Here is a 22,587-nt window from a genome sequence, read left to right on the forward strand (position 1 = left end):
GTGGTACCCACGGTGTACCCACAGTGACCCACAGAAGTCAGAACTCAATGAATCATGGGCCTCTTTCCTCTTGGGCCCTTCATCACCCCGAGTATCTCTGAACAAGTCATTCCAAGCACCCAATGGGCTGACACAAGGGTCACATAGATGAGAAAAAAGAAAAAAGGAAACAGATCGGAAGCATGAGGGAGACTCAACCCTCTGTTGGTGGCTTTGAGTATGGAGGAAGAGGGTCAGGAGCCCAGGAGTATGGGGAGCCTCACAAGGAAATTAGGAGCAGCCCTCCCTCAATGGACAGCCTGGAAGAAAGTGTAGACCTCTGGTCTACACCTGCCAGGAACTGAACTCTGCCAGCAACCAAATAAGCAAGAAATATTCTGTTCTATAGCCTCTACCAAGGCACATGGTCCTCCTGACACCTTGACTTTAGCCCAGTGAGAATGAGAAGTGTCAGACTTCTGTTCTAAGCAAAATTTTAGAAAGTTAATTGTGTGTTATATGAATTCCACCCCAATTTTCTAAAAGGCTTTCAAAAAATAGAGAAATATATTTCCAGTGATGTGCTTTGTAGTAAGATACTAAAGAGTAGATTGGCAATAAAAAATGCAATCATCTTGTCAAATTCACAAACTCTTAAGTGTCCTCTGTTTATTAGAGTCCATGGCATAATTGAATTACATACAGTTAATTGTAATTAAAATACCACAGAATTCTGCCTGGTACCTTGGAGAATCTGACTGCACTGGCATGGTGTGCAGCCTCTAGCTCAGACCTGGTGAGCTGCAGCTCTTCCTTCAATACGACGATCTCACTCCGGAGCTTCTCAATCTGTGCATTTTTCTGATACTCTGTTGCAACAGAAAATCGTGTTAAAACACCATCTCTTACCAAATGTACCTGGAAACTTATGGGGTACAGTCCTGTTGATAACACGAAGGAAACTGTCCTCTTACTTGGGATACGATTACTTGTTTCATGCCACATGAGCCAATTTTTGCTCTTTAGTTTATTTGGAGCCCAGTGTATTTTGGGGCACTGAATTATTTTTTAGCAGATTCTTTCAGCCGCTGTGTTGAGGTTGGATTATCCTACATAGATACATGAGAGCCCTCTTCAGGGAGCAATAATGGTAACAAGGAATAATACAGGGTGCTTTGACCCAGTGGCACTCTGGGCTTTTCTTAGAGGTGCCTGTCTCAATCACAGAAGGCAAGCAACAGCTTCCTCTGCAGGCACCACCATACTGAAATCTCTGTGGTCACCATCCTTTAGGTGCCCGCTGAACTCTTCTGAGGACCCCATCAGTGCTAATACAAGCAGAGGACTTGGGGGGCATTCAAAATGCAAACTTGGGCCATAGTCTATCAACTGGGGTAGAAGTGAGGTACTGAAAAGTTGTAAAAGGAAGCAACAAGTGAAAGGAAGAATACTTATGTACATGTACTTACATGCAGATGTACACATGACTGAATGGATGTACATGTGTCTGTGAGTGTAGACATGAAAGGTATGGAAACCAAAGTAGAAAGTCAGAATCTCAAAGATGACCTGAAGAAATAATACTCGTTTCAGAGTCTGAAACCCTCTCTGAAACGAGTATGAGTTAGAATAAGATACTGAAACAGAAGAGAAAGAAGGTCAGTTTCACGCTGAAGAATGGTAGATTAATTAAAATATTTCATCTTTCCAAAATATTGCTAAATTTTATCAGTGATTCAAGACTTATTAATGAGATTATTATGCTGTTATTTTTGTTTCTACGAAGCTTAGCTATTTCCTAAGTAATCTATTTAACTGAAATGGGCAAGAATGGAAACAACCTGGCCCAAACTGGAGGGAAATGCAGGTACTGAGTATATAAGCCAAGTACCCACGTCTAGATACTGAGAACATTTAAGATCAGAATGAGGTCGGGCACAGTGGCTCACGCCTGTATTCCTAGCCCTTTGGTAGTCCAAGGGGGATGAATTACTTGAGGCCAGGAGTTCGAGACCAGCCTGGGCAACACAGCAAAACCCCAATCCCTACTAAGAAAAAAAAGAAATACAAAAACTAGCCAGGTGTGGTAGTGAGTGCCCGTAGTCCCAGCTACTTGGGAGGCTGAAGCAACGGAATCACTTGAACCCAGGAGAAGGAGGTTGCAGTGAGCCAAGATGGCACCACTGCACTCCAGCTTGGGCCACAGGGGGAGATTCCATCTCAAAAAAAAAAACAAAAAACGATAAAAATAAGAATTTCTGTGGGTTACTGTGGCAATCTGCAGGAAGCTTTGATCTGCCCATGGAGAAAGAGCCCTTACATTCTTTGCTTTTGAGAATACTTCAATGGCAGAAAACCTGGCTCCTTGGTAAGCCTCAGAGTCCCCTCCCCTCTCTTGCGTCTTCATTTTGCATACCATCTATATTGTCGGTGGTGCACACCCAAACACATCTTAGTATCTCCCACATCAAATGAAACAAAGTTGTCCCTGGGTCTCACATTTCTGTCCAGATGAAGCCTCATGTCTCTGCTTTCCTTCCCAATAAGTGTTATTGAAACCAATGTCTGGATACAGTAGGACCACTCCCTCATGATACTCAGCTCAGCTCAGGGGAATCAGACTTTTGTCCCCATCTGTCTACTGAAGCTGCTGTGCCAAGGTCACCAACAACCGTCTTGACAACAGCCGTCCATTGTCAGTCTTCATCTTACTCTGTACCTCAGCGGCATTTGATATGACTGACCACTGCCTCCTCTGTGAAATACTTTTCCCTTGGTTTCCATGACAACACACTCCCCAGGTTTCCCTCCAGCTTTGCTAGAGACTATTCCTCACTCTCTGCTGCTGCTCTTTCTGAGCTCCTAGCATTGGGAAGACCTTGGGGCTGACCTCATCACTTTCTATTCTCTATCTAGGTGACCTCAGCCAGACCAGCTCTACTCCAGTGATTCCCAGATTTAAATCTCCAGCCTGGGTCTCCACCTTAAGCTGCAGCCCTTCAGTACCCCCACCTGCATGTCTGTTGCACATGTGATGTAAACGCACCCATGGCAAGTACAAACTCTCAGCCCTCTTCCTCCTTGAAATTGCCTCCCGACCCTGGCCCTCCATCACAGAAAGCATCACCATTCACCCAAACATGGAGGACAGAAACCCAGGGTCCTCTGTAGCTTCTGGGTCCACAACTTATCTGTTACAACTTCACCTGCCCACCTGCCTGGGGACAAAGCTGGTCCAGGCCCCCGTCTCTCTCACCTCGGCTGCGATTGCAGCCTCCTCCCCTCACTCATCCACTGCTTCCACTGTCGCCCCAACAGTAGTCTCTATCCACAGCTAGAAGGGTCATGCTAAGGTACACATTAATTAGATCATGCCCTTCCCCTACCTAAAATCCTCCAGTGGCTCCACCTTACGCATATAAAAACTCCACATTCCAGCCCACGCCTTCACGGCTTCCTGTGATCAGGCCCCCAGCACTTCAGCCTCACCACACACCATCACCTCACCTATTCTATTCCATTCCACCAGCCCTTCTGTTCCTCAAACACATCATCCCAGCACACCTCACGTCCCTTACAGTCAGTGTTCCTTGGCCTGTGACACACTTTTCTGAGACTTTCACCCCACCTGGAGTCACTCTCTACCCCATTGTCCTGCGCTATGATCTTCATCGCATTTGCCACCATTTGAGAAGAATTACTCATTTGTCTGTTTAATTACTCATTTATCTGTTTAAATGTGTCTCCTCAACCCCCTTTAGAATGTAAAACTCGAGAGAGAGTGGGGCTTCTCCGTTCAGCTTGTGGCTGTATCTCCAGCACCTGGTGCACTGTATGCACCTCCTGAGGGCTCCATATTTACTTACTGAATTGACAGGGACCGTGATGCTTCTTTTAAGAGGACTGGGAAATGCACTGGACCAAGTCTCATTGCCAAAAGAAAAAGGGAGCAGGAAGAAAAGAGCTTTCAAACAGAACTCATTACTCACCAAAATGAGAATTTTCTTCAGTGTGGCGGCGTTGAATGTGACTTTGTAGAAAAGCTTGGTTCATAAAGGCCTTGTCACAAAAATGGCACTGAAAAGGAGAGAGCAACAAATCCAAGTGTCTGTAACGACTGTCGTCCCACTTAATTGCAATTAAAATTCAGGTACCTGGCCAGGCACTGTGGCTCACGCCTGTAATCCCAGCACTTTAGGAGGTCAAGGTAGGCAGATCACCCAAGGTTAGAAGTTTGAGACCAGCCTGGCCAACATGATGAAACCCCATCTCCACAAAAAAATACAAAATTAGGTATAGTGGCATGTGCCTGTAGTCCCAGCTACTAGGGAGACTGAGGGAAGAGAATCACTTGAACCCAGGAAGCAGATGCTGCAGTGAGCTGAGATTGCACCACTGCACTCCAGCCTGGACAACAGAGCGAGACTCCATCTCAAAAAAAAAAAAAAAAAAAAAAAATTCAGGTACCTGAAGCACTACCTCTTGGGCGCTTTCTCGCTGAACGATACCATCCTAGCAAGAGATACTGAAAGCATGACTAATAGACGAGACATGAAACCAGGCTGGGTGCAGTGGCTCATGCCTGTAATCCCAGCACGAGGCCGAAGGCAGTTGGGGGGTCACTTGAGCCAGGAGTTCGAGACCAGCCTGGGCAACATGGCGAGAGCCCATCTCTACAAAAAGTAAAAATATAAGTAAATAAATAAAAATAAAACCAGGGCATTCCTCCCAAACTGAAGACAAGGCAGTGAAAACTACCTCTTGACAGTTAAAGGAGCCCTTCTGCTGCTTTCTGGAGCCCCTGATGCTGCTCTTGTTAGACTGACAGCTTCCACTCTATCAACAACAACCTGCCCCTGCCACTCCAGCCACACCAGCCTTCTTTCTGTCCTGCAGCCATGCCAATCTCAGAGGCTTTGCATTCATTGTTGCCCCTGCCTGATCTTATCCAGACCCTCCTCCCATGGCTGGCACCTTCTCCTGACATTCAAGATGTCATTCATCAAGCATCTTCCACGCTGAGGATGACAGCATGTCCTCAACAAAATCCTCAAGATCCTCCTGCCTGTCACAGTCTCTGTCACATCACGTAGTCTTCTTTTCATCCTCATACATCTCACTGGCTAATATTTTCACGTTTGTGTACTTCACTTGTTTATTGTCTCTAGCCCAGTCCCTCCAGGTTTTAGAATATAGATTTCTGAGGGCAGGGCCTCTAGCTTTCTCCCCAGAACACAGGCTTAATATATGAATGAACAAAAGCTTGGAAGTATAACCTATTAAAATAAATTTTCTGAGAAAAAAGAAGTCAATTCCACGTATACCTCTGTTTTTCTACTTTTACACTGATTGAAATTTTAAGCAAAAATCCCATTTGTTCCATCTATATACTCACCCCTGGATTACTCTGAAGTAAATCCTGGATATTATATATTTCATTTGTAAATATTTCAGAATGTATCTCTAAAAGGAAGACAGGACTTTAACACAAATCATAATACCATTATTCCACCTTATAAAATATAAAAATTAAATCCTTTTTAAAAAACAAATATTCAACTATTTGGATAATTTTTAATTTTTATTAATTTGATTATTTTTCCCTAATATTTCACATATTGTCTTAGAAAAAACATTCGGTTTGTTTTGGAATAATTATTAATAACTGGATCCAAATAAGACCCTATCCCTATCCTGTAACTGATGGTTATGTCTCTTAACACTCTTTTAGTCTATAGGTTTCCCCTCCACCTCTTTTTTTTCCTTGCTATCCTTTTGCTGAAGGGGCTGAAGCTTGTCCTGCAGAGTTTCCCTCCATTTGGATTTTGCTCTTTTCATGCCCATTGTGTCACTGAACATGTTCTTTTGTTCACCATGCTGCCTTACTCTTAATCAGTGTAACTGCATCCAGACTTCAGGCTTTGGTTTCTAAAACTAACATTCTGCATATTTCCTTTTTTTTTTTTTTTTTTTTAAGTGTCTCCCTCTGTCACCCAGGCTGGAGTACAGTGGCGTAATCATGGCTCACTGCAGCTTTAACCTCCCAGGTTCAAGCGATTCTCCTGCCACAGCCTCCTGAGTAGCTGAGATTACAGGTGCCCGCCACCACTCCCAGCTAATTTTTGTATTTTTAGTAGAGATGGAGTTTCACCATGTTGGCCAGGCTGGGCACGAACTCTCAACCTCAAATGATCCACCCACCTTGGCCTCCCAAAGTGCTGGAATTACAGGTGTAACCCACGGTGCCCAGTCATATTCTGGTATATTTCTTGGTATTGCATCTCAGAGAATCCCTAAAGCATCTCTTCAACCTCCCGGGCTCATGACAGCTTTGGTTCACCTATAGAACTTTAGGGACCCCTCACACCAGCTCTGATGTAAGTCATATAGGCTCTCGGGCTGTGTACAGCACTGGAGAAAGGAAAGGAAGAGGAAGCTATGCCTCCCTCTCTCCCCACCCCACCCCAGAGTTCACATGTTGCCAGAAGGTGTTCTAACGATACTGTTCCTAACAGAGACAGAGACCATCCAGCCTTCAAACTGCAATACGGCCACTCTATCAGGGCAAGTAGAATGCTTCAGCAGGGCTGCCCATGTAAGTGTAAGATGAGAGAAATGCACAGTGATGATGGAGAGGATGCAAACACACCACCCTGTCAAAGGGAGGAGGGGAAAAAAAGGTAGGGAGGTAAGGAGGTAGGGAGGGAAAGAGGGAAGGAAAGAGGGAAGGTAGGAAGAAGGAAGGAAGGGAGGGAGGGAGGGAGGAAAAGGGAGGAAAAACATGGCATGCAAAAATAAAGCTTACTGCAGGGGATCTATAAATTAAGAAAGGAATCTAAAGATGTTCTTCACAATCTATTCACATCACAGAACATAAGAGTAGCATACATTCTATAAAAATGATATGATTTTTTAAAAAACCAGAATGAGTTTAAAAAGAAAGATAAAATACAAAAAAAAAAAAAAGATCTGAAACATCATTGCAGAACAAATAAATAAGAAAAAGCAAGGAATAGGGCCGGGTGCAGTGGCTCACGCCTGTAATCCCAGCACTTTGGGAGGCCAAGGTGGGTGGATCACCTGAGGTCAGGAGTTTGAGACCAGCCTGGCCAACTTGGCGAAACCCTGTCTCTACTAAAAATACAAAAATTAGCCAGATGTGGTAGCACATGCCTGTGATCCCAGCTACTCGGGAGGCTGAGGCCGGAGAATCGCTTGAACCTGGGAGGTGGAGGTTGCAGTGAGACAAGATTGCGCCACTGCACTCGGGGCCAGGGTGACAAAACAAGACCTTGACTCAAAAAAAAAAAAAAAAATAGAAAAAAAGAAAAGAGAAAGCAAGGAATAAAAGAGACACTGTTGAAAACTGAATTGCTCACTAAAGGAAAGGCTGACATAATTTATCACAGTGAATGTAGATTAGAAGGAAAGAATTAAAGCAATGAGAAAGAAACCAAAGAGTACGGAGAACTAATGGACAAAATCAATACTGCATAAAGGTAACTGGTTTCCCAGAAGTAGAGAAGCCAAAAATGAAACAAAATTTAAAGACTGAATACAAGAGTGTTTCTCTGAAGTGCAGTGAAAGCTGAATCTGCAGATTAAGAATTCACCAGGTTCCAGGGAAAACTGATACAGAACACTCAACACCAAGACATACCCTAGAAAGCTACTAGGCTTCAAGCAGAAAGAAGGGACTCTTCAGTCATGCAGGCAGAAAAAGCAAGTCACTCACAAGAAAAAAACTTTAGGCCACCCTCAAACTTCTCACAGCAACATTTACTGCCAGAAGACAAAGGAACCACATCAAAAAGTTCAGAGGGAAAGTGTGACTAAGAATATTCTTCATCCAATATGTCTTTCAAACTTGATAGAGTTGAAGAAATGCAGCACTCTTGGGCCTTCTGGGTAAGACAAATCATTTTGACAATCCTATGAATTAAGAGATAATTCAAAATGAGAAACTCAAGAATGGAGATGTTGAGGTGAAAGGATTTTGAATGAGCACATAAATATAAAACCAATGAAAAAAACAAGTAAGACATTATGGCTGAGTAAGAGAATGTGAATGTTACCAACCTGGATAGTGTAACTCTCCAAACTGGGAGAGAAGCCCTGACTCCAACTGTGACTGTGTTTGGAGATGAGGCCTTTAATGAGATAATTAAGGTTAAATAAGATCATAAGGCGGGGGGCCTAATCTGATAGGGTAAGTGTGGCACAGTGGCTCACACCTGTAGTCCCAGCTACTTGCAAGGCTGAGGCGGAAAGAATATTTGAGCCTAGGAGTTTAAGGCCAGCCTGGGCACATAGCAAGACCCCTTCACTTTAAAAAAAGAAAAAGAGAGAGACATTAGCGATCTCTCTCTCTCTCTCTCTCTCTCTCTCTCTCTCTCTCTCTCCAAACACAGAAAAGGCCATGTGATGAGGACATAGCAAGAAGGTGGCTGTTTACAAGCCAGGAAGAGAGGCCTCACCAGGAACCATCCCTGTTGACACCTTGATCTTCAACTTCCAGCCTCCAGAACTGTGAGAAAATACATTTCTGTTGTTTAAACCATCTAACCTGTGTTATTTTTATGGCAGCCTTGGCAGATTAGTACAGATCTATAAGTATAATATCATTTATAGAAAATTTTCAAACTTAAAAACACTGTCTTATGAATACATATGTTCATAAAAATATTTTATATGTTCATAAACATAAATAGGAAGGATATAGTCAAACAGATTTTCTCTGAGAATCGAGGAAGGGAAAATTATTTATTTCTAAGATGTTTAAAACTCTTTAAACATTTTGCTATCTTGGAAATATAGCAAAATGCTAACCTGAGTTCAATCTTTTTTTTTTTTTTTTTTTTTGAGATGGAGTTTTGCTCTTGTCACCCAGGATGGAGAGCAATGGCGTGATCCCAGCTCATTGCAACCTCCACCTCCTGGGTTTAAGTGATTCTCCTGCTTCAGCCTCCCAAGTAGCTGGGATTACAGGTATGCGCCACCACACCTGGCTAATTTTTGTATTTTTAGTAGAGATGGGGTTATACCATGTTGGCCAGGCTTCTCTTGAACTCCTGATCTCAGATGATCTGCCTGCCTTGGCCTCCCAAAGTGCTGGGATTACAGGTGTGAGCCACTGCGCCCAGCCTAACCTGAGTTAAATCTAAGAGGTGGGTATATGGTATGTCTTACATTAGTCTATGCACTTTTTTGTATGTTTATAATATTTCAGTACTAATTTTTATTTGAAAATCGATGAGATTTTTCTTTTAAAATCCCCCATATATGGGTATTCACTATATTGTTGTTTTAATTTTTCTGCATTTTAAATTTTTTAAATAAAATATTGAGGAAAAAGACCTTACACATTGCCATCACTACCCCCCTTATACACAACACACACACACACACACACACACACGCACACCCCATGGGGGAAAAAACCCATTAGGATGCGTGCGTGTGTGTGTCTGTCTGTCTGTGTCTTCAAGCCTTCAAGAACAGGCATCTTTAATTTTTTTTTGTCTCAGCTACTCAGTTCTTATGATTTCTTAAAGCAAAGGGAGTAGAGACAAAGAGAAGTGGTATGAGAATGAGAATGAGACCACAATTTCTCAAAGGTAAAACTGATAATGCGGTGGACCCAATCATTGTGTCAGAACAAGGAGTCTAGGCTTTGGATTTTCTGTATAGGGGAAGAAAGAAAAACTCACATGATAGCAGTCATATGATTGTTCACATTTTGTAGTAAGTCAGCTTTAGTATTTGTCATGCCACAAAACGTTTTTCCCTCATTCCCAGGTATTAGCTAAAACAATAACTAACTACATGCCAAGCACTGCTCTAAGCACAGTCTATGCACTAAGTCATTCAATCCCCATTAACAACTGCTATATGGTAGGTACAATTAATATTCCCATTTCACAGAGTAGAAACTGAGGCACAGGGAGGTTGAGCAACTTGCCAAGGTCTGGTAGCTGAAAAAGTAGTAGGTGTCACTCATTTGATAAATTGAGTCATTACCTTTTAATCATTACTTATCATTCACATTTGAAAATCTTCTCTTAGGCCAGGTGTGGTGGCTCACGTCTGTAATCCCAGCATTTTGGGAGGCTGAGGTGGGTGGATCACTTGAGGTCAGGAGTTTGAGACCAGCCTGGCCAACACGGTGAAACCTCGTCTCTACTAAAAATACAAAAATTAGCTGGGCATGGTGGTGCACACCTGTAGTCCCAGCTACTCAAGAAGCTGAGGTGGGAAAATCGCTTGAACGCGGGAGAAGGAGGCTGCAGTGAGCCAAGACCGCACCCCTGCACGCCAGCCTGGGCGACAGAGTGAGACTCCATCTCAAAAAAAAAAAAAAAAAGAGAGAGAGAGAGAAAGAGAAAGAAAGAAAATCTTCTCTTATAACAGCCATTTCTATAGTAACCCCAAAAAAGGAAAAAAAAGTTTATAAACATACAATTTCTGTATGTTAGAGGTTTTAACATTTCACTAGATGGCTGCTAAAGCTGGACTATAATAAATCTTTAAAAATGTTTAAATAGAATCCATTATATTCGTTGCACAAGAAAAAAACCATCTTAGCACTATTTGTAAATATTTAATTTTTAAGCAGCATTTATAAAACAAATAAGCAATTAGCAATGCCCAGTGTCATTTGAAGATTATACCTCAGGGTTGTCTACCCAAGACCAAACACTAAGTCCTTCTAATAATATTCCTAATTGTTCCCTTATCTTTTTTATTTTTATTTATTTTTTTTTTTTTGAGATAGATTCTCACTCTGTTGCCAGGCTGGAGTGCAGTGGCGCTATCTTGGCTCACTGCAACCTCCGCCTCCTGGGTTTAAGCGATTCTCCTGCCTCAGCCTCCCAAGTAGCTGGGACTACAGGCACATGCCACCAAGCCCAGCGAATTTTGGTATTTTTAGTAGACACGGGGTTTCACCATGTTAGCCAGGATGGTCTCGGGTCTCAATCTCCTGACCTCGTGATCCGCCCGCCTCGGCCTCCCAAAGTGCTGGGATTACAGGTGTGAGCCACTGCACCCGGCCACTGTTCCCCTATCTTAAGAACACTCAACACTCCTGCTGGGTCAGTCCTGAGCAATATTAACTGCACCATTTTCTCTGCCCTGCACCCAGTTCTCTCCAGCATTCATGCATCAGCTCCACTATTCCTAAATCCAGTGAGGCCTTTTAAGCCATAGTCAGCCGAAAGGACTAGAAAGTAAGGGCATGACATCAATCTTGTTAATCTGTTGCTTACTTCAATATCTTTCTCAATCATTGTTTATACCTTCTGCACTTCCTCCAACTAGTCAATAAAAAAAAAATACATTGGTTTATGTTATACTCAAAAATTGCAATATTTATCTTGGACTCAATGTCTAACCCAAAACAGTAGAAGATTAAGACCAGAAGATAAAAATATTTTATTCTTTAAATACTGTTATGTAAGTGAATGTTCTTGTTCTTAGAAAATATACACATCGAAATATTTAGGATCTGCAACTCACTGTGAAATGGTTCAAAAGTAATAATAATATGTATACAGAAATAGAGGGACTGTGGAAAATGTTAATAATGGGGGAATCTGGGTGAAGGGCGCATGAAAATTCCTTACAGTCTCCTGGCAACTTTTCTGTCAGTTTGAAAGTATTTCAAAATTTATAAAAATGAGAAAAAGACCCTACAAATTTAAACATTCTGCATCGTTTGGGGACTGGCTTCAACAGCAATTTGTATATGGTTTTTTCATGTTGAGGTTGATTCGGAGGAGGAAAGTGTTTCAACAACCAGCATTTAGATAACTTCCATAAAGCACCACAGACGACATTTGTTGTTTAATTATTAATCCCCTGATTGTCTGCAGAAGGTAATGAACCATGACATTTGTTGGTTAAATGACTGTTTTTGCTTAAATATACTGTGTCTTCTGATATACAATATAAATCTTTAAGAAGAAAGAGTGGTGATACGGGACAGGCCTATCAAATGGGAACTGAGTTGTTTACTGGATTATGAATCGTGCTCACACACAGCTGCCCACCTGGTAATAGTTGGCTTTGGCCTCGATCATCAGCTGCTGGGTGGAGATCATCTTCTTCCGGCGTTTGCACTCTTCCTTGAGCGTCTTGATCTCCCCCGCCTGCTTGGTGAGCAGCTTCTTGCTCTGCTCGCCGTCGCAGTGGCTCAGGCGCAGCCGCTCCTCCAGGGTGTGCAGCTGCGAGGTGAGGAACTCTTGTGAGTGCAGCAAGTACTCGATGGTGAACTGCGCCAGACGGATGAGCTTCAGCAGCACCGGGTCCACCCCCGACTGGCAGTGTGGGCACTTCTCGTCTTCCAGCTTGCAGAAGGTGATGTTCATGATGTTCTCCTGCAGCGTCAGCACGTCCACAGCCCCCGCCACCTTGTCCACGTCGATGGCGCTCAGCCGCCGCCAGTCCACACTCTCCAGCCGCGGCCTGAACTGGAAGAAGGGCAGGGGCCCCGAAGCCGCGCTGGGGGGCGCACAGGCCATGGAGGCCGCACCCGCGGCGGCGGCGGCCACAGCGACGTCGGGCCCCTCTGGGCCGCTGGCGAGCGGGTAGTAGACATGCTTCTGGAAGGGCTGCGGGGGGCACAAAGAGAGCGCGGCGGGAGGCGGGGATGGGGGGCGGGCAGGCTGGGGAGCTGGGGGTCCGGGGAAGCCCCGGTTCTCCCCAGCCCGGCATCCCCGTCGGGGGCGCCCCGGCCTCCCGCCTCTTACCATGCTTGAAAACCAATCCGCTGCCTCAGCTTGCATAGGAGGAGCCGGGCGGTCTTTACCCAGCCTGGGCCGCCTCCCGGGCCGCCGCCGCCACAGCCCTCAGGAGCGGGAGAAGGCCGGGTTCCTCGCTTCCGCGGCGGCGGCGGCCTAAGGTCTGGGCGTCCAGGACGTTGCTATAGCAGCGCCCAGGTCCGGACCTGGAGCAAAGGGCGCGTCTGCCCGCGCAGGGTCAGCGTGCACCCAGAACCCTGCGGGACCAGAGAAGACCTCTTGGACGAGCCCGAGTGGACACAGCCGTTCACCCGAAGAGGGTACCTCCTGGGTACCGGCTCCCCAGGGCGCCACCCTCCCTGGCGTTTGGGGCTGGACACTCCATGTCCCTAAGGCAGGCGTGGGGAGCCACATCCCTGGGAACCTTTGGTCTTAACTGCCATCCCCTGGTTATTTATTCACTGTAGCCCTGGCCTTAGGCTTTGAAATTAGAAATATCTATTCATTCCATCATTAATAGAAAAAGAAAAAAAAAGTAGTATCTATTCATCCTCATCTTTTACACACGATTTAGAAAACATTAAGCAATAAAATATATATAATTAAATGTGATAGAGGGGGACTCGCTGCAAAAGGGCATGAGGAAGCTTTTGGCATAACAGAAATGTTTTTCATTTTGATTGTGGTGTTGATTACCCAGCAATATACACTTGGCCAAATTCACCGAATTGTGTCCTTAAAGTTAAGGGTACATTTTTATTATATCTCAATAAAGTTGTTTTTTAAATGAAATTTGCAGTTAATCATATTTGATGGCAGGCTTTCTAGATTTCTGACACCCAAGTTGCTTTTTAAATGGAGTCTTTCTTCCTTTGTAGGTTAGCAGCCTAAATATAACATTTTGATAAAAGTACGAACCAAAGAACTCCCCAAAATATGTAATACTTCACCTGTCTTTCCAAAAGGATACATACTCAAAATGCTGAAGGTAGAAACAGATGGAGGGGGATTTTAGCCATCAGCTTTACCAACAAGTTTTACAGGGCCATGGTATTTACCTTACAAACTTGGGTCGGGGCTGCATTCTGGGCTTTGGAGAGGCTAAAATATTTCTAGCAGCGACTTGTAGACCTCAGGCCTCTCATTTCTATGGGTCTTCTGGGGGCCTCCAGTGGTTACCACAGAGATCAATAAGCTGAGGAAAAGCCAGACATTCCCCAATCCACCGGGGAATTCCTGCTTGGACCAGACATCAGGAATTTTTTTTTCTTTCCTAACATCCAAATATGTGAACAGAAGAAAGGAAAATACAATTCAGAGTAACTGGAAGCAAAGTTGTAATATCAAATATATTTAGCACTTTCAAGATATTGTTAACTAGAAATAAACCCATGCAAAAACATCCAGGAAATAAAACACGCACTTCATATGGTTTCAAATAAACCATATGTCCAAGTTAATTGGCCTTTATTCCCTGCAACCAGGCATAAAAAGTGCTAAAGACATAAATAGTTTCAAAGTTTGATTCTGTCACTTACTTGCTCCCTGATCTAGAACAAATTGTCAGCTCTAAGACTTAGCTTCCTCCATCTGTTTAAGAGCATCAAGACACCGACCTGGCAGGTCTGTAGATTCTGGACTCCATCCACTGGGCTGCAGGATCAGCGGGAACAAGAGCTGTGGTCTCTCTTGCTCAAGTATACGTCCCTAGAACCTAGCAGAGGACAGGCACGGAGAAGGCGTTCAGAATTTGCTGAATGGACACGTGAATGAAGAACGATCGAATGACTTAGGCGCTTAGTTAAGGAAACATCAGCTCCTGGCCCTTTATCCCTCCTATTTTTGCTGCCTCTGGCCTGTTAGAACGATTAACCCATGATCTGGGCCAAGGGCTTCAGAGCTGAACGTGGGGGTGGCCCGCGCGCCCCCGCTGAGATCTGGGCGCAGAGGCCTGCGGGCCCGAGGTACCCATCTCCGTTGGCCGCCACACTCCATCGTGGGGCGTCGTGCCGCTGACCACCCCTTTCCCCTTGCGTGGATCTCGGTCACAAGATGGCCGGAACAGGAAAGAAGGGGGCATGCTTTCCCGTTCCCTCCCTCCCCCATCCCGGGCAGGGCCCCCAGCCTTGCGCGGCGCCTCAAGTCCCAGGCGCATGGCACCGCCGGGCAGCCGAACCAGCAGACAAAAGCCGAGAGACGCGGGTTCCAGGGGAACCTCGGCGCCCTTCCTTGGAAGGCAAACAGGCAGTGGGGGCAGCGGCGGCTACTCCAGCTGGATCTGCAGAGGCTCGGCTCGCAGCCTGGAGAGGCAGGAGGGCCGGCTTCGCGGGTATCGGGATGCCCCGTCAGCCACCTCCTGTGGGCGCCTGGCGCATCCCCGGTCTCGGCTCACCCCAGCTGCGCGCTCCTGGGCGGGTGCCGGGCGCTGCAGGCGGGCGGGGGCGACACAGGGGACCCAGACCCCAGGGTCGCTGCTGACGCGGGCCGGGCCCGCGGAGGCCGAGGAGCAGCAAAGCGGAGAGAGGCAGGCCGGCTCCTTCTTGCAGGGCGCAGGATGAAACGTGTCTGGTCTGGGCAAGTTGTGGCGAGGCGGGTCGACTGGCGCCGCTCTAGGGCCTTCCAGACTCCGGACCACGGACGACTCAGGATACCCCACCCCCCTCCCGCCCCCTCCCCTCCGCGATCTCCCTCCGGCCTCTTCCCTCGGTGTCCCGGCTCCTCTGGCAACTGGGCGGGACCGCGAGCGTCTAGACCGCAGCGCTAAAATGCGCTCAGCCAATCCGGCAGCTGGCGCAGACACGTGGTTCGGGGGCGCGCTCCGTTGCTGGCCCTGGATGCTAACCCTAGGAAGGCTTTTCAAAGAGAAACCAGATTCGCTCCTACCCGGTTGTTGGTCTGGCCCTCAGCAAGCTAATTTCCCAGAGGAGCTTCAGGTGAATTATCTTCCAAAAAGAGATGCGTTTTAATCGCAGAAGTCTGCAGATGCGAAGGACCTTGAAAAGGCTATCTAATGTGGCCCTGCATTTGAGTGACGTGGAAAACCGAGATTAGGGACTTTTCACCAAAGCCCTCTAGGATTTAAACCCACGTAGGTTTCTGCGTCTCTTTCCGTTATGCCCACTTCAGGATGAAAGGCACGGATCTTTGTTGGTAGAAAGTTAGGCACTGAATTACAGGAGATGTGGGTCCGGAGTAGTGTGCTCATTTATGTAACCTAAAATTGGAACACGTGGGACAAAAGTCAGTATTTTTAAGTAACAAGTAATCCAGAACGTATGTATATACCATCATGAGAAATGAAGGCATCTTTTGCAAAACCTAAGTGTCTAATGCAGCTATATATATATATATATATAATATATATATATATGTTTTTAAATTAGAGAGGAGTAGCTGCAGAACTTTTACTGGACCAACATGCCGTTGTAAAAGTGCCTTTCCTTGTGCTTCTCCCTGACAGAATCAACTTTGTACCATACTTTAGCACAAGGCTTCAAACATAGCAACAGCTAAATATGTATTTATGTTGAATTCCTTGCTTTAGTTTTATTTGAAGCCATAAGGCCAAGATGACCATGATGGGATTTTAAATTGGTCTAATTTTAAAATTATTTTGAAAGAAAATTCAAGATCTCTATAAAAATCCTCTAAGTACTATGGGGAAAGATTTCTAGATAGAAATTTCAGACAATAGGCCGAGCGCAGTGGCTGACGCCTGTAATCCCAGCACTTTGGGAGTCCGAGGCGGGTGTATCACGAGGTCAGGAAATCGAGACCATCATGGCTAACACGGTGAAACGCCGTCTCTATTAAAAATACAAAAAATTAGCCGGGCATGGTGGTGGGCACCTGTAGTCCCAGCTACTCGGGAGGCTGAGGCAGGAGAATGGCGTGAACCTGGGAGGCGGAGCTTGCAGTGAGCCGAGATCGCGCCACTGCACTCCAGCCTGGGCGAGAGAGCGAGGCTCCGTTTCAAAAAAAAAAAAAAGAAAAAAGAAAAGAAAAGAAAAAGAAAGAAAGAAAAAAAAAGAAAGGAATTTCAGACAATATGAGATAGATAGGACCATTGCTCTGCAAAATCCGGTTTTTGCAAACTCGGTAGCTGTCTGTGTGTGTGTGTGAGAGAGAGAGAGAGATGATTGCTTAATTAATATTATTTGTTGACATACCATTTGAGTTACATGTATTTCCCATCCCCACTGTCAGTATATTACCCTACAGGTGTAGAATTGGAATAAGAAGAATCAATTGACTTTGGCATGACTTAGCAGCCATGATGCATTCTTGATCTATGCACAAACCACTTTTACCAATTGTATAATGGTATACATATTTTTAATGATTAAGGTATCTCTCTCGTCGGTCAGACTATAAGAACCTCAAGTATTCCAGCATTTTGAGCATTTAGTAAGTCCTCAAATAAATATTTGCTTTTTGAAGACAGAAATGATCCTAAAGAATGAAATAATAATACTGGTGAACATTAATCATTTTGTACAGTAAATAAACAAAAGCATTGTAGCTGAATTTATTTCAAATGATTGTTTCTGTTTCTCTCATTTGAAAATAGTTATTGATATTACCTGGCTAATGTCCTTTAGTATGAAGGCGATAAATAAAGAAGGGCAGAAATCACATGTGTTGTCTGATTCAATACATATTAATTATTTTGCCTCATATTCCCATTTCAGATACCTAACCTTGGTTTTATATACATGGTTTAAAGAATAATAGGCCAGGTGAGGTGGCTCAAACCTGTAATCCCAAAACTTTGGGAGGCCAAGGTGGGCAGATCACCTCAGGTCAACAGTTTGAGACCAGCCAGGGCAACATGGTGCAACCCCGTCTCTACTAAAAATACAAAAATTAGCCGGGCATGGTGGTGCACACCTGTAATTCCAGCTACTCAGGAGGCTGAGGCAGGAGAATCACTTGAACCTGGGAGGCAGAGACTGCAGTGAGCTGAGATCATACCACTGCACTCCAGCTTGGGCAACAGAGGGAGACTCTGTCTTGAAAAAGAAAAAAAAAAGAAAAAAAAAGGAAGCAAGTTTATTAAGAAAGTGAAGGAATAAAAAAAAAATGTACTCCATAGGCAGAACAGCCTGTACCACATTTTTTAAATCCAATCCACTGTTGACAGGCACTTTGATTGATTCCACGCCCTTGCTATAGTGAATAGTGCTGTGATGAACATATGGGTATATGTGTCTATTTGATAGAATGAATTATTTTCATTTGGGTATATACCAGGTAGTGGGATTGCTGGGTTGAATGGTAGCTCTGTTTTAAGTTATTTGAGAAATCTCCAAACTGCTTTCCACAGTGGCTGAACTAGTTTGTATTTCCACCAACAACGTATAAGCATTCCCTTTTCTCTGAAGCCTCGCCAACATCTGTTGTTTTTTGACTTTTTACTAATTGCCATTCTGACTGATGGAAAACGACATTAACAGACACTTCTCAAAGGAACACATACAAGCGGCCAACATACGTATGAAAAAATGCTCAACACCACGAATCATCAAAAAAATGCAAATCAAAACAATGAGAAACCATCTCATACCAGTCACTGTGAGATTTAACAGATTTTAGGGCTGGTTTATAGGGAGAAATGTATTTAGGGGCTTGCAGGGAATTTCTTTGTAATTTGTGAGGGAGGCCATCTGGGAAGGTGTATGGCCTTCTATTATTGTGGGAATCTGACTTATATATAAGGCTCTGGCATGGAATTGTGAAATTACAACCATCTGTTTGGAAACAAAATGGTAGGCAGTATTGCCCCAACTCAGTTGCCAAGCTCAAATCTCCTTTGGCATAGTGAGTTTGGGGTCCCAAGATTTTATTTTCTTTCACACTTGGAACCTGAAAGTCAGACCCACATACTAAGGATGGGAAGGCAGAATGATGTTGTAAAGGGGTCATATCAGTCTTGAACCACCTGCATCTAGACATCTCTTCCAGGTGAGAAACCTTTTCAAGACATTTATCTGGATATTCTCTTTTATGCAGAAAAATCGAATTTTAACTGCCATTAGAACCTCCCACATCTCATGATTGTTCTGTGGATTACAGGGAACTGTTCTTGTGATAATTCAACTTCAATTGCATTCACTGCCACTATAACAATTAAATTCCTGGGAGGGTTGGGCACAGTGATTCACGCCTGTAATGCCAGCACTTTGGGAGGTCGAGACAGGCGGATCACCTGCGGTGTGGAGTTTGAGACCAGCCTGGTCAACATGGTGAAACCTCATCTCTACTAAAAACACAAAAATTAGCCAGGCATGGTGTCCCATGCCTGTAGTCCCAGCTACTCAGGAGGCTGAGGGAGGAGAATCACTTGGACTCAGGAGACAGAGATTGCAGTGAGCCAAGATTGTAACACTGCATTCCAGCCTGGGTGACAGAGTGAGACTCCATCTCAAAAATAAATAGGTAAATAAATTCCTGTGAGAAAGATTCTAATTGACTTAGTCACATGCCCAACCAGTGGTTTGGCTAAACGCAGGGTGTAAATGACAGCTCCACCATAATTACTTGAAAAAGACTGTAGCAATCCTCAAAGGAAGGTACCTATATAGAGAAATATGAAAACAAGACAAATGCAATGTCCATTAAATCCAACTCCTTCGCTGCTTAGCACCCACACACACTCATATTCTTCTTTCTATTGATATGTCTTAGTCTGTTTTGTGGCACTACAACAAAGTACCTGAGACCGGGTAATTTATAAAAATGGAAATTTATTTTCTCATACTTCTGGGGGCTGGGAAGTCCAAGATCAAGGCTCTTGCAGGTTTGAGTTTCTGATGAGGGCCTTCTGGTAGCGTCCTCACATGGCAGAAAGCTGAAGGGCAAGAGAGAGTGAAAGAGCAAGTGAGCAGAACGCTTTATGAAGCCTCTTTTATAAGGGCTTTACTCCCATTAATGAGGGAGGCATCTTGATGGCCTAATTGCCTCTTAAAGGCCCCACCTCTTAATACCATCACATTGCCAACACCTGAATTTTGGAAGGGACACATTCGAACCACAGCATTCTGCTGTGGCCCCCAAAATTCATATCCTTCTCACATACAAAATACATGTCTTCCTTCCCAGTAGCCCCGAAAGTCTTAACTTATTCCAGTATCAGCTCAAAAGTCTAAAATTCAGAGTCTCATTTAAATCAGATATGGGTAAGAGTCAGTGTATGATTCATCCTGAGACAAATTCCCTCCAGCTTTGAATCTAAGAAATCAAACAAGCTAAGGGCTTTAAAAGTACAATGGTGTATTTAGGCATGGGATGAACATTCCCATTTCAAAAGAGAGAAATAGGGAAGCAGAAAGGAGTGACAGATTCCAAGCAACTCCAAAACTCGACAAGGCAAACACCACCAAATCTTGAGGCCTAAGAACAACCTTCCCTTACTTCATGTCCTGCCTTCTGAACACACTGGGGCAGAGGTTAAGGTCCCCAAGGCCCCAAGGTACCCCACCCCTGCAGCTTTGCTGGGCACAGCCCATGGAGCAGCTGTCACAGGTTGGTGTTGGGTACCTGTGGCTCTCACAGGTTGGCATTGCATGCTGGCATTTCTATAGGTCTGGGGTCTCTGGGGCAGAGACCCTACCCCCATGGCTTCACTAAGGCCTGCTCTAGTGGGGATTCTCTGCAGTGTCCCTGCCCCCAGAGCAAGTCTCTGCTTGGGCCCCAACAGTGTCTGAGATATCCTTTGAATTCTAGGTGGAGGCCAATAATGCTTCCACAGCTCTTGCACTCTGCAAGCCTGCAGAATTAGCACCACCTGGATGCAGCCAAGGTGTGTATGGCTATGCCTTCCAAGATGGTGGCCTGAGCCACACCTGGGCCTGCTTGAGCTACAGCTGGGAAAGCTGAGGCGTGCTACCCCAAAATGCGGAATGCAGAGACCCAAGGCAGCCCTGGGCAGTGAGCCCCAAGGTTCCATGAACCCCTGAGCCATGCAAAACTACTCTTCTCTCAAGGCCCTGGCACTCTGGGCCTGAAATGGGCATGGCAGCCTCAAAGATCTCTGAATTGCCTTTGGGGTCACTCTCCCATTGTCTTGATGAATATCACCTGGCTTCCTTGTATCCATAGTAATCTCCATATCAACAGTCATTTGGCCACTCTCGGTTTTCTCCCCAACACATTTTTTAAATCTTTATATGCCCAGGCTGTGAATTTTCCAAATCTTTACATTCTGCTTCTCTTTTAATTATAAATTTTATCTTTAAGTCATTTCTCTCCTCTTGCATTTTAATAGAAGCAGTTAAGAGAAGCACTACAACTCTTTCAATATTTTGCTGCTTAGTGTTCTCTGAGCCAGGTGGATGCCTCTCTTCCTCCATGCATCCTTTCTCCACCTCCCAGGAATGGCCAGGTGTCCCCACTGGCTCCTGGGCCAGGAGGCATCCAAGGTTCTGTGAAGCTGCTGAAGGAGCCTGTCTTTGTTTGTGCTGCTATGATATAAAATTTATTTTCTCTCAGTTCTGGAGGCTGGGAAGTTCAAGATCAAGGTGCCGCCGTGTTCCATTTTCTGGTGAAGGTCCAATCTCTGCTTCCAAGATGAAGCCTTGATGCTGAATCCTTGTAGGGGAAAAACACTGCATCTTCCCATGGTAGAAAAGCTGGAAGGACAAGAGAACCAAATGCTTTGTGAAGCCTCCTTATAAGGGCCTTAATCCCATTCATAAAAGGAGGAGCCCTTATGGCCAAATCACCTCTTACAGGCCCCATCTCTTAATACTATTACATTGGTAACACCTGAATTTTGGAGGCGGCCTATTCAAATCATAGTAACAAACAATTCAAAAAATATCCTGTTAATAAAAAGTAAATAACTTATGCAGACTTGCCCTATGCTACACTGAGAGGTTACCCAGCAGCACCTCCCACTATCATGACACAATGCCAGGAAGACTTGTGAAATGGCAATTTCTGGATTACGTCTATTTTTACCTCTAGTTCCTTTTTAATTATGTCTTGTTTCTTAAATCTATAGCCTCGGTGGTAAATGAAGCCACGTTAACACACCCTACAAGCAATAGAAAAGCAAAAAGGAAAAGATGGAAAAAAACATTTTTTACATTTCGTGGCCCATTAAGAAATCAAGGCAGTTGCAGTAATTCAGATGGCCATAAAAGAGGGTCCTGCATATACTCAGATAATGCATTGCATAAAATCACCACATCTAAGGGGATGGCATTCATCATTGACATATGTTAAATTATGAAACTAACAACAATGACAGAGAAGAAAAATGGAAAGAACCTAGGTAATTAATGACATTATTGAGCAGAAGATCATATTGTGCCTGAAGTCTGTCCTACGTATGGACTTCCAGTGAAGTGAGATAATAAACTACTTTATTGTTTAATCCAATCTGAGGAATAAGAAACACTTACAAACATGGAAAATATTAACACAGCTATATCAATAATCATTTTAAATATGAATGGTCCAATACATAAACCAATTAAAAGACAGATTAAATACAAGATCCAACAAAATGTTATGTATAAGAAATCCACTTCATATATGAAGACTCAGATAGATTAAAAGCTAAGGGATGGAAACAGATATACTGTGCTAACACTAATAAAAAGAAATCTGGAGTGGATACATTAATTTCAGAGAAAGCAGACTTCAGAACAAGGAAAATTATCAGGGATAAAGAGGGGTACCACATAATAATAAAGGGATCAATATTTGTAAAAGACATAACAATCTTAATATCTATGTATATGAGAACAGAATGTCAAATACCTGAGGATGGTTAGAATTGCAAGAGAAATAGACAAAATCACTGCTATAGTTGGAGACTTCAACACCTTCCTTTTAACAACTGATAAATCAAGCAGGAAGA

General features: G+C 44.2%; 1 protein-coding gene and 1 long non-coding RNA gene across 29 annotated transcripts in view, besides 5 other annotated features; both read right to left on the reverse strand.

Annotated features, from left to right (window-relative positions):
• DZIP1 (DAZ interacting zinc finger protein 1) overlaps positions 1-15,441 on the reverse strand; it is a 66,505-nt gene extending 51,064 nt beyond the window's left edge. For 11 of the 28 annotated variants that reach the window (XR_007063670.1, XR_007063669.1, XR_007063668.1 and 8 more), the window contains exons 1-6: positions 15,112-15,441; positions 14,336-14,433; positions 13,778-13,992; positions 12,030-12,976; positions 3,969-4,056; positions 724-848 (exon numbers count right to left, since the gene is read on the reverse strand). Coding sequence is in view for 24 of the 28 variants with exons in the window: in XM_047430168.1 (XP_047286124.1) it covers positions 724-848; positions 3,969-4,056; positions 12,030-12,764 (948 nt within the window). In the remaining 4 variants the exon portion in view is untranslated. Of the gene's footprint in view, positions 1-723; positions 849-1,448; positions 1,543-3,968; positions 4,057-12,029; positions 12,977-13,777; positions 13,993-14,335 lie in introns of those variants that run through there. The other 17 variants (NM_014934.5, XM_047430180.1, XM_047430178.1 and 14 more) reach the window with 4 other exon arrangements.
• Positions 12,586-13,511: an enhancer, noted in NCBI's record as "H3K27ac-H3K4me1 hESC enhancer chr13:96294105-96295030 (GRCh37/hg19 assembly coordinates)". NCBI's record gives its function as "activates a minimal SCP1, AML or CMV promoter by ChIP-STARR-seq in naive and primed H9 embryonic stem cells {active_cell/tissue: H9 hESC(naive and primed)}" and the evidence as "EXISTENCE:reporter gene assay evidence [ECO:0000049][PMID:30033119]".
• Positions 15,054-15,163: a silencer, noted in NCBI's record as "silent region_5443". NCBI's record gives its function as "represses an Ori minimal core promoter by ATAC-STARR-seq in GM12878 lymphoblastoid cells {active_cell/tissue: GM12878}" and the evidence as "EXISTENCE:reporter gene assay evidence [ECO:0000049][PMID:35858748]".
• Positions 15,224-15,313: a silencer, noted in NCBI's record as "silent region_5444". NCBI's record gives its function as "represses an Ori minimal core promoter by ATAC-STARR-seq in GM12878 lymphoblastoid cells {active_cell/tissue: GM12878}" and the evidence as "EXISTENCE:reporter gene assay evidence [ECO:0000049][PMID:35858748]".
• Positions 15,404-15,513: a silencer, noted in NCBI's record as "silent region_5445". NCBI's record gives its function as "represses an Ori minimal core promoter by ATAC-STARR-seq in GM12878 lymphoblastoid cells {active_cell/tissue: GM12878}" and the evidence as "EXISTENCE:reporter gene assay evidence [ECO:0000049][PMID:35858748]".
• Positions 15,604-15,653: an enhancer, noted in NCBI's record as "active region_7880". NCBI's record gives its function as "activates an Ori minimal core promoter by ATAC-STARR-seq in GM12878 lymphoblastoid cells {active_cell/tissue: GM12878}" and the evidence as "EXISTENCE:reporter gene assay evidence [ECO:0000049][PMID:35858748]".
• Positions 19,446-21,346, reverse strand: LOC124903194 (uncharacterized). The gene is made up of 2 exons (XR_007063840.1): positions 20,799-21,346; positions 19,446-19,569 (listed from the first exon to the last, which is right to left on the reverse strand). It is a non-coding gene; the product is annotated as an uncharacterized LOC124903194 (long non-coding RNA).
• Between the last annotated feature and the right edge of the window lie 1,241 nt (positions 21,347-22,587).

Source organism: Homo sapiens, chromosome 13, assembly GCF_000001405.40.
Source record: "Homo sapiens chromosome 13, GRCh38.p14 Primary Assembly".
Taxonomy (NCBI): Eukaryota; Metazoa; Chordata; class Mammalia; order Primates; family Hominidae; genus Homo; species Homo sapiens.